We start from the raw sequence: 16,957 nt of genomic DNA, 5'->3' as shown, positions 1-16,957 counted from the left end.
AGAGTGGTTTGGAAATGACAATAGAAAACCAGAAGGGGGTATACTCCAGTAGCTGACCCTGAAGTATCCGCTTGGAGAGAGAATTACCTACCTCTTAAAAGGGCTGCGGGAGAAGTAGGCTGTGAAGAAGGAGCCCAGGTTTGAGTCAAAGAAGGCCAAAAAGCTTTTGTTTATCCAGTTGTCATATTTTCTCTACTTAGCTTACTGTTACATATGAGGAAACTAAAGCTCTGGAAACAGGAGTTAAATCTCACTGTTCTGGTATTTCCTTTGAAATATTACTAATCTACCACTTCCATGTAGCATTAAAAGGCAAATCAATCTGCCCCGTGTTCATACAAAATATTTTTTCCATGCATGTTTTATGCCTCCTAATTGAAAGAATCAAACCAGCATTGGCACATCTAGCACCAAATGTAATGAATAATCTCATATGAAATTTAGAAATGTTTGCATATATTTGACATTCTTGAATCTCTGTGACAGGTATAATTTCTTTTTCAAAAAAATAATTTTTGGTACTATGCTTGAGGTGAAGAAGTAATCTGTGTACCAAACCCCGGCAACACACATTTTCCTATGTAACAAACTTGCATATGTACCCCTGAAACGAAAATAAAAGTTAAAAAATACTTTGGGGAAATAGTGAAGTGTAAAACTTTATGAATAAAAAGTATGATTTCTTAACAACATGAAAAAATAGACCCCAATCAGGTCTTTCTCTCAAATGGAGATATATGTAAGATGAAGCAGACCTCTTCTTTATCAAGCAAATTTGATGACATAAGTAGAAAGTTCCAAAGGACTTATGGCATTGAGATTTGACTTGTAAGCTCTATTTCTCCAAGAGTAGGGAAACTCACAAATACCTGTAATTTCAATATCACAACAACTTTGATTCTAACTGAAGAATTTCTTACTAAATATAGGTCCTCCTTTCTTGTCATTTCCATATTTTATCTTCTTTAAGGAGACAAAGAATTCTGAAGTCTATATTTAGTATTAATTTTTTGGAAACTTAGCAGCACTGGGGAGAGGAGCTTTTATAAATGGGATATGAACTTTGAACACAAAATAAAATTTCCTTTGGTGTCATTATGCAGCACCGATCTAAGCAGACTTAAATTCATATAGAGTTATTGAGTATTTTGTACCTTTTTTTCATCAAATCCTGTGTATTAGGAATCCAAAGGGAATGAGGAGGTATAGTTAAGCATGCTACATAAAAAGCTACTTTGTACATAAGGAGTACTTCTTTATCTTTCATATAACTCACAGTATACTCTAAAAGACTCCTCTCCTATCATTGGGCATCGGGTCCAAATAACATAATCAGCGTCACAGTGAAGACCGTGAATGTCTGCATCATGCCTGGCTAAAATCCTGGCCCTTCCCCTGACCTTGAGGTGCACTTGAGCAAATTCTCTGAACACTCAAAGCTCCTTTTTTTATCTACAGAAGAATGCAGCCGTGATGGTCACCTCAGAGGGCTGTTGGAGAGGTAGGTGCTGTGCAGTGTCTGCCACAAATATAATGCAGAGAAGGGTTTCCATTACAGTTAATGATACTTAATATAATATTATTATTATTAATTGTAGATGATTAAAGCTAATTATTAGGCCTGCTTCCTTCAAGACCCTGCTAATGTTCCACTATCTCTGTGGAAATCCATACCTGACCAAATATCCCAGAATCTTTCTTCCAGTTTCTGAATTCCTGAACTATATCTGAACTATGACCCAGTTTTTGATGTTGTGCTATCATGGATTATTATCCAGGAAATTTTGTATATGCAATTATCGTCCCTTCTATAATACCCCTCATGTCTTGTCCAGGCTTAACCAAATGAGCTCTGTGCTTCTCTGGTTATTCTGGACCCTTCTCTTGATTGTAACAAGTAATACTGAAATACAGATTTTAATTTATACTCTGTTTTCTTGAGGGCAAAAGCTGCATTCAACAAAAATAACTATCAACAGGGTCAACCAACAACCTATAGAATGGGAGAAAATATTTGCAAACTATGCATCCAACAAAGGGCTGATATCCAGAATCTATAAGGAACTTAAACAAATATACAAGTAAAAAATAACTCCATTAAAAAGTAGGCAAAGGACATGAATAAACGCTTTTTGAAAGAAGGCATATGTGCAGCCAACAACTGTATGAAAAAATGCTGCACATCACTAATCATCAGAGAAATGCAAATTAAAACCACAATGAGATATCATCTCACACCAGTCAAAAAGGCTATTATTAAAAAGTCAATAAATAGATACTGAAGAGGTTGTGGAGAAAACAGAATGCTTATACACTGCTGGTAGGAATGTAAATTAGTTCAGCCATTGTGGAAAGCAGTTTGGAAATTTCTTAAGGAACTTAAAACAGAATTACTATTCAACCCAGCAATCCCATTATTGAGTATATACTCAAAGGAATATAAGTTGTCCCATAAAGACACAGGCATGCTTATGTTCATCACAGCACTATTCACAATAGCAAATTCATGGAATCAACCTCAATGTCCATCAGTGGCAGACTGGATAAAGCAAATGTGGTACATATACACCATGGAACACTATGCAGCCATATAAAGAATGAGATCATGTCCTTTGCAGGAACATGGATGGAGCTGGAGGCCATTATCCTAAGCAAACTAATACAGGAAAAGAAAACCAAATACCGTGTGGACTTACTTATAAGTGGCAGCTAAACATTGAGTGCATGTGAACACTAAGAAGAAAACAACCTACTTGAGGATGGAGGATAGGAGGAGGGTGAGGATCAAAAACTACCTATTGGGTACTATGCTTATTACCTGGATGATGAAATAATCTGTACACCAAACCCCTGTGACACACAATTTACCTATATAAACAAACCTGCACATGTACCCCTGAATCTAAAATAAAAGTTGAAAAAAAAAAAAAAAAAAAACAACCGTGTCTCACTCATCTCTCTATCCCTCTATCCCCAGGACTGACACAGATTGGCTGTTCATAAACTGAGCTGTCACATACTGAGATTATAAATTCCTAGAGAGTATGTGCTTCTCTTGAACTGTCTTTTGGCTACTCTCCAGTAGTGTTAAGTGCCCAGGTGCATAAAGCTTTCTATTTAATGATCCCCCTTCCCCTAGTCTTCCTACCCATGCGATAACTGTTAGAACACAAGTAAGGTGGAAGGTTAATAAGTGGGACAGGAAAAAAGTTTCAGTATTAAAATAATAGATGAAACAGGAATTACCAGCCTTTCCAGAGTCTCAGATAATATCAGTTATGACTTTTCAAGTGGGGCAAGTATAATTGGAACTCAGTACTCCTTCTGTTGTGGGGCTAGGGAGTGGGGTCTTGTTTCCATGTTACATTCTTTTAGGAACAATGCAAAGACCAACAAGGCCATTCCCCTTCAGTGAAATAACTAACACTTGCCGTGTTAGCATAGGTCTCCGACCTTAAAATCAAGTGGCTCTAATTTGTATGTTCTCCTGAGCTACAGTTGTGATACATATAAATGCTGTGGTTTACATACATATATCCTATCCTTTGTTGCTTTCGGAGTTCTTATTCCTCTCTCTCTCCCCCCCTCCCTATCTGTCTCTGTCTCTTTCTTTCTTGCCTTTTTAATTTGTTAATTCACTTATTGTGGGTCTCCCCCAATTTACAAATATGAGGGAAGGAAATCTGTCTGTGTCATTTACCAACAAAACTTCAAGGTCTAGAATGTTGCCTGGCATAAACTAATTCATATAATTCATACATATTTAGACATGAAAGAACTATCCTCTCTGATGGTGCAAAATTTAAATAAAGGCTGATTAGATATCAGACCTAACTGATCTGTTTACTAAACTGACCCATTATTTGACTTATTAATGAAAATAATCTAGGATTTTAGGTACACAGCACATCAGTAATGTAATTCTCCTATTGAAGCAGCAAATCAATTCCTACACAAATTATATTTGCCAAGAAAGGGAAACCCCTGAGGCCGTTTGTGGAAATGAAGCACAAGCTCAGTGGACTCACTCCACGGGCTGTGATCATGCGCCAGCTGCTCACCTTGTATGGAGACAGGGCTATTTTTTAATAGAGACATAAAGCTGTGACTGATGGGCCACAAACACCATGGGAAATTTCCATTTCAGTCGCATTTCCTTTTCTTGTTTCAAATTGCATTTTGAGCTTTTTATAAGATGATTGATGTTAAATCCCTATTTCTGTTGCTGGTAAGTCATTGAGTATTTGTATTTGTATTTGTCATTACAACTCAAGACTAGAAACCAAATCAATCAGGGGATGAAAACACAATACATGATGGTGATCATATTCCATCATGTTGCAATAAAACAGATAAGGCTCCTCAGACAGATTCCCTGCTTTTTAAAGTGATTTCTCCTAACCTGTGGCTGTAAATGACAGCATCTATCCCAACATCTCAGGACACCAACCAAAGCAATTTCTTTTTGTGTCTCTTGTTACAACGGCTTGAATGGTCAGATATTGAAACATATATGACTCAGATTAAAGGAAACGGCAACATTATATCACAATGCCAAGGAAGCAATTATTGCAAACAAGACATTTACTAGAAAATGCCTATCTTGGAATTCTCCTTGGCAGGAAAAAAAATGATATATAAGACTTTCTTCCAGGGTTCTTTTCTTTTTTAATATTACAAAGAGAGAGAAAGCTTCTCAAGCTCACCAAGAAAATATATTTCTAAACAACACATTTATAAAGCCTGCTTCTTCACAGAGTAATACCTATATTTTACCATTGGGCCTCTTAAGTTTGTATGACTTTTCTAAATTCCTTCATTGGCTCCACATGGCAAAGATTCTATTGTCCAGATTTGGCTAACGGCAGTGGCAGGGGCATGACTGGAATAGAAAGCCAGCTCTGGCCACCAATGCCAGTGCCCATGGGCCAGAGAACGGAGTTCTTTATTACTTTGATTTAAAGGTTATCATGCAGAGGAAAATCTTGTTTTCTTACTTCTCAATTATTTGGGGATGAGAAGGAGGCCCATATAGCAAAATTTTAAAATTTGTTACATTAAAAATGTATGTGTTTGAAATTAGGTTCAAGTTTATATTTAACATATTGCAAAAAAGAAAAAAAACATGACTTAGCTATTTTAAATTGAGAACTAAGAGGGCTAGGGAAACTTTGAAATCCAGATAATGCATGACATGGATCAGAAGCATCATGTCTATCACATGATGATTTTCACTAGAAAGTTACCTGACCAAGTGTTCTACTCCTTATCCCCTTCAATGCCGAGCACACTATAATGAATATTTTAGGTGGCCCAAATAATTGTTGAATTTTTGTTGAATGAATGAGTGGGTTGGTGAATGAATGATTGAATGAATGAAATAGCAAGAGAGAAAATGAATTGTCTTCAAGCTCAAAGGTAAGCTATTTCTATAGCCGGCGTCTATATACAACGAGGCATCATAGAATTTGGGCAAATGCCCTTAAGTTACATATTTGCTGAGAAGATTTTTCTCCACATTAACAGGATAACTTTTATGAAATAAAGACTTTTTTTTCTCCATCATTTTCTACAGACTCTACTATGACATATTTTGAATCAATGAGTGATTTTGTTATGGAATATTCCATAAAACAGTACTTATTCCGAATTTTTCCTCCCAGGGCAGTTCTAGAAATGAACTGGAACCCATTCTTTAAAAAAAAACTAATTTATTTATTTATGTGAAATTGACAGAAGTATATATACATTGTGGATGGTCAAATTTAGTTAATTAACAAATACATTAACTCACAAGGTTATCATTTTTGTGGTGAAAACACATCCACTCTCTTTACTTTTTTAAGAATACAAGGTATCATTAACTATAATCTTTTGCTGTACAAGAGATCTCTTGAAATTCATTCTCATATTTATTCTCCTGTATTTACACATCCTTTGACCTACGTCGTCTCACCTTCCTTTCTCCACTAACCTCCTCATCCTCTGGTAACCACCATTCTAATCTCTACTTTTACAAGTTCAACTTTTCTAGCTTCCACCTGTGAGTGAAATAATGAGGTATTTGTCTGTGCCTGGCTTGTTTCATTTAACATAATGTCTTTCAGGTTCATCCACGTTGTCACCAATGGCGATTTTATTCTTTTTTATCCTTTTATTCTTTTTACTGAATGGTATTCCATTGTATATATATACAACACACCTATTTTATGCATTCATCCTTTGATGGGCAATTAGGTTGATATCCTATCATTGCTATTGTAAATAGTGCACCTATAAACATGGAATGCAGCTATCTCTTCAACATAATGATTTTATTTCCTTTGGCTATAACCCAGTAATGAAGTTACTGTATCCTATGTTAGTTCCATTGTTAATTTTTTTAGGAACTTCCATACTGTTTTCCATAATGTCTGTACTGATTTATATTCCTACCAAAAGAATATAAAAATTCCCTTTTCTCCACATACTCACTAACATTTGTTATCTTTTATCTTTTTTTTATAATAGTGATTCACACTGGGGTAAGGTGATATCTCATTGTGGTTTTGATTTCCATTTCCTTGATGACTAGTGATGTTGAGTATTTCTTCATATACCTGTTGGCCATTTACTATTAGGCCAAACTGCTACTCAGGTCTTTTGACCATTTTTAAATTTTATCTGATTTTATTTTTGTTGTTGTTGTTGTTGAGTTGTTTGAGTTCTTCAAATATTTTAGATATTAATCCTTTGTCAAATATATAGTTTGCAAATATTATCTCCTATTCTGCAGGTTGTCTTTTCACTATGTTGATGGCTTCCTGAAGCTTTTTAGTTTGATGTAATCCCATTTTTGCTTTCACTGCCTGTGCTTTTGAGGCATTAACCAAAAAATCCTTGCCCAGAACAACATCAAAAGTATTTCCCCTATGTTTTTTTCTAGTAGTTTTTTAGTTTTGGGTCTCACATTTAATTGTCTAATTCACGTTGAGTAAATCTTTGCATAGGGTGAAAAAAAGGAGTCTAATTTTATTCTTCTGCATGTGTATATCTAATTGTCCCGACACCACTTATTAAAGAGACTGTCTTTTCTCCAACGTGTGCTTGTGGCATCTTTGTGAAAAAAAATCAGTTGGCTGTAAATGTGTGGATTTATTTCTGGGCTCTCTATTCTGTTATAATTGTCTATGTGCCTGTTTTTGTACCATTACCGTTCTGTTTTGGTTATTATAGCTTTTTAATATACTTTGAGTCAGGTAGTGCAGCACCTCTAGCTTTGTTCTTTTCGCTTGAGGTTGTTTTGGCTCTTTGGGCTCTTGGGTGGTTTCACACGAAACTTAGGATTTTTTTCTATTTACATGAAGAATGTCAGAATGTCATTGGGGTTTAATAGGAATTGCATTGAATCTGTAGACTACTTTGAGTAGTATGGACATTTTAACAATATTAATTATTACAATTAATAACTCAAGATATCTTTTCATTTTTTGTATTTGCTTCAATTTCTTTCATCAATGTTTTATAGTTTTTATTGTAGACATCTTTTACCTCCTTGGTTAAATTTATTCATAGGTATTCTAAATTTTGTGGCTATTGTAAATGGGATTATTTTGTTGATTTCTTCTTCAGATAGTTTGCTATTAATATATAGAAATGTTACTAATTTTTCTTTTTTCTTTTCTTTTCTTTTCTTTTTTTTTTTTTGATGCAGTCTCAATCTTATTGCCCAGGCTGGAGTGCAGTGGTGCAATCTTGGCTCACTGCAACCTCCGCCTCCTGAGTTCAAGTGATTCTTATGCCTCAACCTCCCGAGTAGCTGGTATTATGGGTATCTGCCACCACGCCTGGCTGATTTTTGTATATTTTAGTAGAGACAGGGTTTCACCAAGCCTTGTCTCGAACTCCTATCCTCAAGCGATCCATTTGCCTCAGCCTCCTAAAGTGCTGGGATTACAGGCATGAGCCACCACGCCCAGCCACTAATTTTGTATGTTGATTTTGTGTCTTGCAACTTACTGAATTTATTTATCAGTTTCAACAGTTTTTTGTGGAGTCTTTAGAGTATTCTATATATAAAATCATGTCATCCACAAACAGAGACAATTTAACTTCCTTCTTTCCAGTTTCGTTACCTTTCATTTCTGTCTTTTTTTTTAAATTTTATTATTATTATACTTTAAGTTTTAGGGTACATGTGCACAACGTGCAGGTTTGTTACATATGTATTCATGTGCCATGTTGGTGTGCTGCACCCATTAACTCGTCATTTAGCATTAGGTATATCTCCTAATGCTATCCCTCCCCGCTCCCCCCACCCCACAACAGTCACCAGTGTGTGATGTTCCCCTTCCTGTGTCCATGTGTTCTCATTGTTCAATTCCCACCTATGAGTGAGAACATGCGGTGTTTGGTTTTTTTGTTCTTGTGATAGTTTGCTGAGAATGATGGTTTCCAGTTTCATCCATGTCCCAACAAAGGACATGAACTCATCATTTTTTTATGGCTGCATAGTATTCCATGGTGTATATGTGCCACATTTTCTTAATCCAGTCTATCGTTGTTGGACATTTAGGTTGGTTCCAAGTCTTTTACCTGATTGCTCTGGCTAGGACTTCTGGTACTTTGTTGAATAAAAGCAGTGAATGTGGACATACTTGTCTTTTTCCAGATCCTAGAGAAAAAAAATTCAACTTTTTCCCATTCAGTATTATGTTAGCTGTGGGTTTGTTTTAATTGGCCTTTATTGTGTTGAGATACATTCCATCTATATTTAATTTATGAAGAGATTTTTATGGTCATGAAGGAATGCTGAATTTTGTCAGATTCTTTCTCTGCATCTATTGAAATGATCATACAGGTTTTGGCCTTTATTTTGTTAACATGATATGTCACATTTACTGATTTGCATATGTCAAACCATTCTGGCATCCTTGGGATGAATCCCACTTGATCATGGTGAATGATTTTTTTAATGTGTTGTTGCATTTAGTTTGCTATATTTATTCAGGATTTTTGCATCTATGTCCATCAGGGATATTTACCTGCAGTTCTCTTTTTTGTTGTGTCCTTGTCTGGTTTAGTATCAGGGTAATATTGGCCTCACAGAAAAAGGTTAAAATAATTCACTTCTCTTTAATTTTTTTGAAATAGTTTGAGAATAATTACTATTAGTTCTTTAATTTCTTGGTAAGATTTGACAATTAAACTATCAGGTTCTGGGCTTTTCTTTGATGAAAACATTTTTATTGCTTATCTAATCTTATTACACATCTTTTGGACTATATAGGTTTTCTGTTTCTTCTTAGTTTAATCTTGGTATGTTGTATGTGTCCAGGAATTTATCCATTTCTTTTAGGTGTTCCAATTTGTTGGTATAGAATTGTTCCTAATAGTCTATTATTATTCTTTTTATTTCTGTGTTATTGGTTGTAATGTTATCTTTTTCCTCTCTAATTTTATTTGGGTCTTCTCTCGTTTTTTCCTAGTTTAGCTAAAAGTTTGTCAGTTTTGTTTATCGTTTTGAAAATACAAGTCTTTGTTTCATTGATCTTTTAAAATTACTTTTAGACTTTATTTCACATATTTCTGCTTAAATCTTTATTATTTCTTTCTTTCCACTAGTTTTGGGTGTTTTTTCTAGTTCCTTTAGGTGCATTATTAGGTTGTTTATGTCAGATATTGCTTTTTTGTTTGCCTGTTTTTTGAGATGGAATTTCACTCTTGTTGCCCAGGTTGGAGTGCAATGGTGCGATCTCAGCTCACTGCAACCTCTGCCTCCCGGGTTCAAGCAATTCTCCTGCCTCAGCCACCTGAGTTTCTGGGATTACAGGAATGCACCATCACTCCCAGCTAATTCTGTATTTTTAGTAGAGATGGGATTTCTCCATGTTGGTCAGGCTGGTCTCCAACTCCCAACCTCAGGTGATCCACCCACCTTGGCCTCCCAAAGTGTCGGGATTACAGATGTGAGCCACTGAGCTTTTTTTTTTTAATGTAAACATTTGTTGCTGTAATATTCTCTCTTATAACTGTTCCCCATAGGTTTTGGTATGTTGTGTTTCCATTTTCATTTGTCTCTAGAAATTTTTTTAATTTCCCTTTTAATTTCTTTATTGACCCATTGATTGTTTAGAAGCATATTTTCTAGTTTCCATAGATTTGCAAATTTTCCAAGGTTTCTCCTGTTACTGATTTCTAGATTTGTATTTTTGTGGTCTGAAAAGATATTTTATATGATTTCAGTCTTCTTAAATTTGTTAAAACTTGTTCTGTGGCTACATATGTTCTATCCTGGAGAATGTTCCATGTTCAGTTGAGAGGAACGTGTATTCTGCAGCTGTTGGATGAAAAGTTCTGTAAATATCTTTTAGGTCTATTGGGTCTAGAGCAGTTTAAACCCAATTATTTCTTTATTAATTTTCTATCTGGATGATCTATTCATTGCTGAAGAAGGGATGTTGAAATCTCTTACTGTTGCTGTATTGCAATCTATCTCTCCTTTTAGAACTATTAATAGTTGACTTTGACATTGGGTGCTTTGATATTGAGTGCATATATATTTACAATTCTTATATCCCCTTGCCTATCATTGTATGATGACGTTGTTTGCCTCTTTTTTTACTTTTTGACATAAAGTCCATTTTATCTGATATAATTATAGCTATTCCACTCTCTTCTGGTTTCCCTTTGCATGAAATGTCTTTTTTCATCCCTTCACTTTTAGTCAATGTGTGTCCTTACTAGTAAAGTGAGTCTTTTGTCAGCAGCATATAATTTTCTTTTTTAAAATCCATGCAGCTACTGTATAATTTTTAATTGTAAAATTTACTTCATTTACATTCAAAGTAATTACTGTTAGATAAGAACTTACTATTGTCATTTTTTTCATTGCTTTCTAGTTGTTTTGTTGATTCTTTTTTTCCTTTCTTCCTCTCCCACTGTCTTCCTTTGTGGTTAAATAATTTTCTCAGTTTTGTGTTTGATTTTTTGCTTTTTATTTTTAGTATATATATTTAAGTTTTTGCTTTGTGGCTACCATGAAGCTTACAAAAAAACTATCATACTTACGTTTGTATCTGGTTATTTTAAACTAATAACAACTTTCATTAATAAAAAGAAAAAGAAACCCACCAAAAGTCTATACTTTAACTCCAGTCTCCACCTTTCACATTTTGAATTGTGCTGTCACAATTTACATCTTTTTATATTGCATATCCCTTAAGAATTGTTACTGCTATTACTTTAATAGTTTTTTAACCTTCATACTAAAGATATGTGATTTACACACCATTATATCATAAGAGTATTCACAATTTGATTGTGTCCTTTCTTTTACCAGTGAGTATGAAAAATGTACTTTCAGATGTTTTTTGTGCCACTCATTAGCATCGTTTTCTTTTAGCTTGGAGAACTCCCTTTAGCATTTCCTGTAAGACACGTCTGGTGGTAATGGACTTCCTCAGCTTTTATTTATCTAGAAAAGTATTTATCTTTCCTTCATTTCTGAAGTACAGATTTGCTGTGTACAGTATTTTTAGTTGAAAGATTGTGTGTGTGTGTGTGTGTGCTTTGAATATATTATCCTACTTTCTCCTGGCCTGTAAAATTTCTGCTGAGACATCTGCTTTATGCATATTGAAACTCCCTTATATGTTATTTGCTTCTTTTCTTTTGCTGCTTTCTGCATTCTCGCTTTGTGTTTGATTTTTGACAGCTTGATTATAATATATTATCTGGTATCTGTATTTTAGATTGAATCTGATTGGCAACTTTTGCCCTTCCTGTAAATTGATATTCACATCATTCTCCAGTTTTGAACCATTTTGTGCTATTATTTAGTTAAATAAACTTTTTACTCCTTTCTCTACTCCCTCTTGAACACTGATGACTCAAACATTTGCTCTTTTGATATTATCTCATAAACCCTGTAAACTTTATTCTTTTTCATTGTTTTCTCCTCTCACTGTATATATATTTTCAAATAAATTGCCTTCAGGTTCACTGGTTCTTTCTTTTGCTTGATCAGTTCTGCTGTTGATGTCCCCTATTTGTATCTTTCATTTTGTTTATTGTATTTTTCAGCTCCACTTTTAAAAAATTAATTCAATTTCTCCATCAAATTTCTCTGATAAATTTCTAAATTTTTTTCTGTATTTTTCTGAAGTTTACTAAGCTTCCTAAAACAATTATTTTGAATTCTTTGTCAGGAAGTTCTTTATCTACATCTCTTTATGGTCAGTCACTAGCATCTTATTTTGTTCATTTGGTGATGTCATATTCCCCTGATTATTCTTGATGCTTAAGGCCATGCATTGATGTATCCGCATTGATATAGGTACCTAATTCTGTCTTCACAGTCTAGCTTTGTTTAGGGGAGTTCTTCAACAGTAAGCTTGTCCCAATATTCAAAAAAAGGTGTACTCCTGAAGTCCCTAAGCCCATGAGCTCTTTAGCCAGTATAGTGCCAGAGAGTGCCCTAAGCCCAGGACTGACTCAGTCAGAATCCCATTGCTGCTGAAGTTGACACAGTACTCATGCACCTGAAGCCCGTGGCTACTGAGATTAGTGCAGCACTGGGGAAGTACAGCCTCTATGGCCTGCCTGCCACTGAAGTTTATTAAGGGCCCAAAGTCCCTGTAGTCAGTTGGTGATTATGAAAGCTAAAATTTTAGTCTGTCTTACTGGAGCCACAGATTCCCATCTGGCATTGGGACAGATCTAGAGGCTCTGTCTCTGAGCACCAGCCTAAATTGATGAGCCATGGGGTTATTCGCAGTGCTGGATTTTACTGTGGTGGGCCCAGTTCTAGGTTCCAAAGCAAAGTCATATGCTTAATTCCCTCTTCTTCCCCAAGCAGACAGTATCCCTTTCTGTGCTACACTGCCCAGAGCTTGGGGAGGAGTGATATGGCAGTCTTGTGGCCACTGAGGCTGATGAAGTGCTCAGTCAAACACAGTGCTCACTGCTGATGAGACTGGCACAGTACTGAGGCATGCCCAAAGCCCATGGGCTACAGTCTGCCTGCTGCTGAGGTTTATACAGGACCTGAGGCTGCTGTAGTCAGTTGGCAGTGATGCAACACAGAATTTGAGTTCTTTTTGCTGGGGCCATAAGTTCTCATCTAGCATCAGGGTGGATCTATAGGCTCCATCTGCAGGAACTGGCCTGGAGTCAAGGGTCATGGCATTTATCCCAGTGGTGGGTCATTACTGAATTCCAAGGCAAAGTCCTATACTTACTCCCCTCTCTTTTCCCCAGTCTTATGGTGTCTCTTTCCATACTACACTGCATGGGATGGAGGAAGTGGTAATGAGGGCAATAAATCCTTTTTACTATATTCAATGTGTCTTTTAAAATTATTATCCTAAAACCAGGTACTATGATCTCTCACCTAGTTTCCTTAGTTCTTGTGAAAATCTATTTGTGCATGGACAATTGTTCTCATTGATGTTTCCACTAGAGAACAATCACTGGAGAGTCCTACTCCAACATCTTGCTCCACCCCTTTGTTTGACTTGGAACCATTCTAAAGGTATTCTGCTCCTAGGTATCTTGTTTGAATCATCAGCCTGTTCTTTAAGGGAAATAATGTGCCATGTTTGGAGTCAGTGGGAGGCATTGTGCCTATTGTGCAGGAGTTTAATTCCACTTGGGAGATAAGATTATCATACAGACACATAGGAAATAGGGTGAAAATAATCACAGGACAATTTATACACAAACATACAGTGTTTTCTTAGAATAATTTTATTATGATTAAATGAATGCATAAGCACTGTAAACATGTTGAAGAGAATAAAGAAGAGAATGAACCATAAACAGTAATGCCATGATTAAAAAGTTTATGTTTTATTAAAAAGTATATGTTGATATACTGCCCCAATATTTTTTCCTATATGTGAATATTATCTAAGGATTAGTGCTGGAATTATACTGATACTTAATTTTGTAACCTAGTTCTTTCTTCACTAAATATGGTAATATGAACATTTGTCTATATCACTTGCACTGACCTCTTATAATATCCTTACAATGACACATCATTCCAGTGATGTAAACAACTGGAAAAAGACTCAGAGGGAGCTTGTTGTGATCCCCAGGGGAATAAAAGAAAAATGAATTTTACTGTGGGTCCCAGCATTCCATTTCTATTGAGGGCCTCCTTCATGTATTATTCTACTATCTGACATCAGCTACTTGCTATATGTCAGACAGGAGACCTTGTATTGAACACACACGGTGACTAACATTAATATCCATGATCTAGGAGCTTACAATCTAATGAAAGATTAGCATGGAATTAATTCCTTTCTCCTTTCATCAGACTATTAAACAGAGGTCATGCTACCTCTGCACATTTTTATGTTTCTGATTATCTGACATTTCAAGATGATAGGAATAAACTCTGGGATGACAGAAACAAAAAAAACTCAAAAAAGTGTTGTTCAAACTCATGACAGGGAAATGATGTGTGGCTCACAGTGGTTCCTGCAGTAGGCCCACCTAAAGGCTTTGTGTGAGCATTTTTTTGCCCACTCTCAAGACCTGGTGGGCACAGGTGATGTAGAAACCTCAAAAGAAAACATCTCAAAAGCATTCATGCCTGAATGCAGAAGTAAAATGGCTTTGGTGAATGTGCAGATCACAGATCTTTTTGGAACATCTAAGTCTTCAGCATGTGAGTTTACCATGTTTGTTACTATGACAAGATCAGATTTTGTTTTTATCACCATCCCTTCTCATTACATTATCCTGGGGAGGTCACCCAGAATTCTCTTTTCTTTCTGTTTTAAAAACATTTCTGAAAAGTGGCTAAAACTATTTCATTGGAAGTGTTCCTTATTTTATCAATTAAGTACAAACATAAGTTATAACAGATTCTTTTTCATGTTGAGTTATGCCATGAATACAATACCCATTACATAGACTGCATCTTTTAAATGGCTGAAATATTGACAGAGTTCTGGAGAGCAGAAAAAGAGGAAGGAAGGTGGAGAACAGCATAATAGTTTATCATAAAAGTTAGATTTTTATTCCAAATGATGGAGAAAGAAGGAATCCTGCCTAAATCATTCTATTAAGCTAGTATCACCCTAATACCCAAACCACGAAAGTGCATAACAACAACAATGAAAACCAGAGATCAATATCCTTGATGAACATAGATGCAATATTCTCAACAAAATAGTGACTAGCTAAATCCAATAGCATATTTAAAAATACATCCTGATCACCTGGGTTTCATACTAGGGATGCAGAGATGATTTAACATATGAAAGTCAATAAATGTGATACATTACATAAACAGAATTCAAAACAAAAATATGATCATCTCAACAGACACAGAAAAAGCATTTGACAAAATTCAGCACTCTTTTTGATAAAAACTCTCAACAAAATTAATATAGAAGGGTTATACCTTAAAGTAATAAAAGCCATCTTTGACAAACCCACACCCAACATAATACCGAATGGGGAAAAGTTGAAAGCATCCTCCCTGAGAACTGGAACAAGACAAGGATGCCCACTTTCACCACTTCTATTCAACATAATATTGGAAGTCCCAGCCAGAGCAATTAGACAAGAGAAAGAAATAAAGGGCATCCAAATCGGAAAAGAGGAAGTCAAACTGTTGTTGTTTTCTGATGATGTGATAATATACCTGGAAAACACTAAAGACTCGTCCCAAAGGCTCCTAGATTCATAAATGAATTCACTAAAGTTTCAGGATACAAAATTAATATACATAAATCAATAGCACTACTATACACCAACAACAACCAAGCTCAGAATCAAATTAAGAACTCAATCCCTTTTACAACAGCTGCAAAAACTAAAAAATACTTGTGAATGTACTTAATCAAGGAGGTGAAAAATCTCTACATGGAAAACTACAAAACACTGCTGAAAGTAATTATAGATGACACAAACAAATAGAAACACATTTCATGCTCATTAATGGGTGGAATCAATATTGTGAAAATGATCACAGTGCTAAAAGTAATCCACAGATTTAATGCAATTCCCACAAAAATACCATTATTATTCTTCACAAAAATAGAAAAAGCAATCCTAAAATTCATATGGAACTGCAAAAAGCGTCCCTAGAGCCAAAGCAATGCTAAGCAAAAAGAAGAAATCTGGAGGCATCACATTACCCAACTTCAAATTATACTAAAAGGCTATAGTTACCAAAACAGCATGGTACTGGTATAAAAATAGCCATGTACACAAATAGAACAGAATAGAGAACCCAAAGTAAAGCCAAATACTTACAGCCATCTGATCTTTGGCAAACTTGCAGCCAACTGATTCATGAAGCACACAAAAACATAAAGTGGGGGAAAGGACTTCCTATTCAATAAATGGTGCCGGGATAACTGGCAAGCCACATACAGAATAATGAAACTGGGTCCTCATCTCCAACTTATATAAAAATCAACTAAAGATGAATCAAAGACTTAAATCTAAGACCTGAAACCATAAAAATTCTAGAAGATAACATCAGAAAAACTCTTCTAGACATTAGCTTAGGCAAATAATTCATGACTAAGAACCCAAAAGCGAATGAAACAAAAACAAAAATTAATAAATGGGGCCTAATTAAACTAAAAAGCTTCTGCACAGCCAAAGAAATAATCAGCAAACAGACAACCCACAGAGTGGGAGAAAATATTTGCAAACTATACATCCAACAAAAGACTAATATCCAGAATCTACAAGGAACTCAAACAAGAAATCAGCAAGAAAAAAACAATTCCATTAAAAAGTGATCAAAGGACATAAATAGATAATTCTCAAAAGAAGATATACAAACAGTCAATAAACATGAAAACAAATGTTCAACATTACTAGTTATCAGTGAAATGAAAATGAAAATCACAATGAGATTCCACCTTACTCCTGCAAGAATGGCCATAATTTAAACATAAAAAAATAGATGTTGGTGTGGATGTGATGAAAAAGGAACACTTTT

This window comes from Homo sapiens, chromosome 5 (genome assembly GCF_000001405.40).
Source record: "Homo sapiens chromosome 5, GRCh38.p14 Primary Assembly".
Taxonomy (NCBI): domain Eukaryota; kingdom Metazoa; phylum Chordata; class Mammalia; order Primates; family Hominidae; genus Homo; species Homo sapiens.
Note: the sequence above shows the minus strand (reverse complement) of the source record.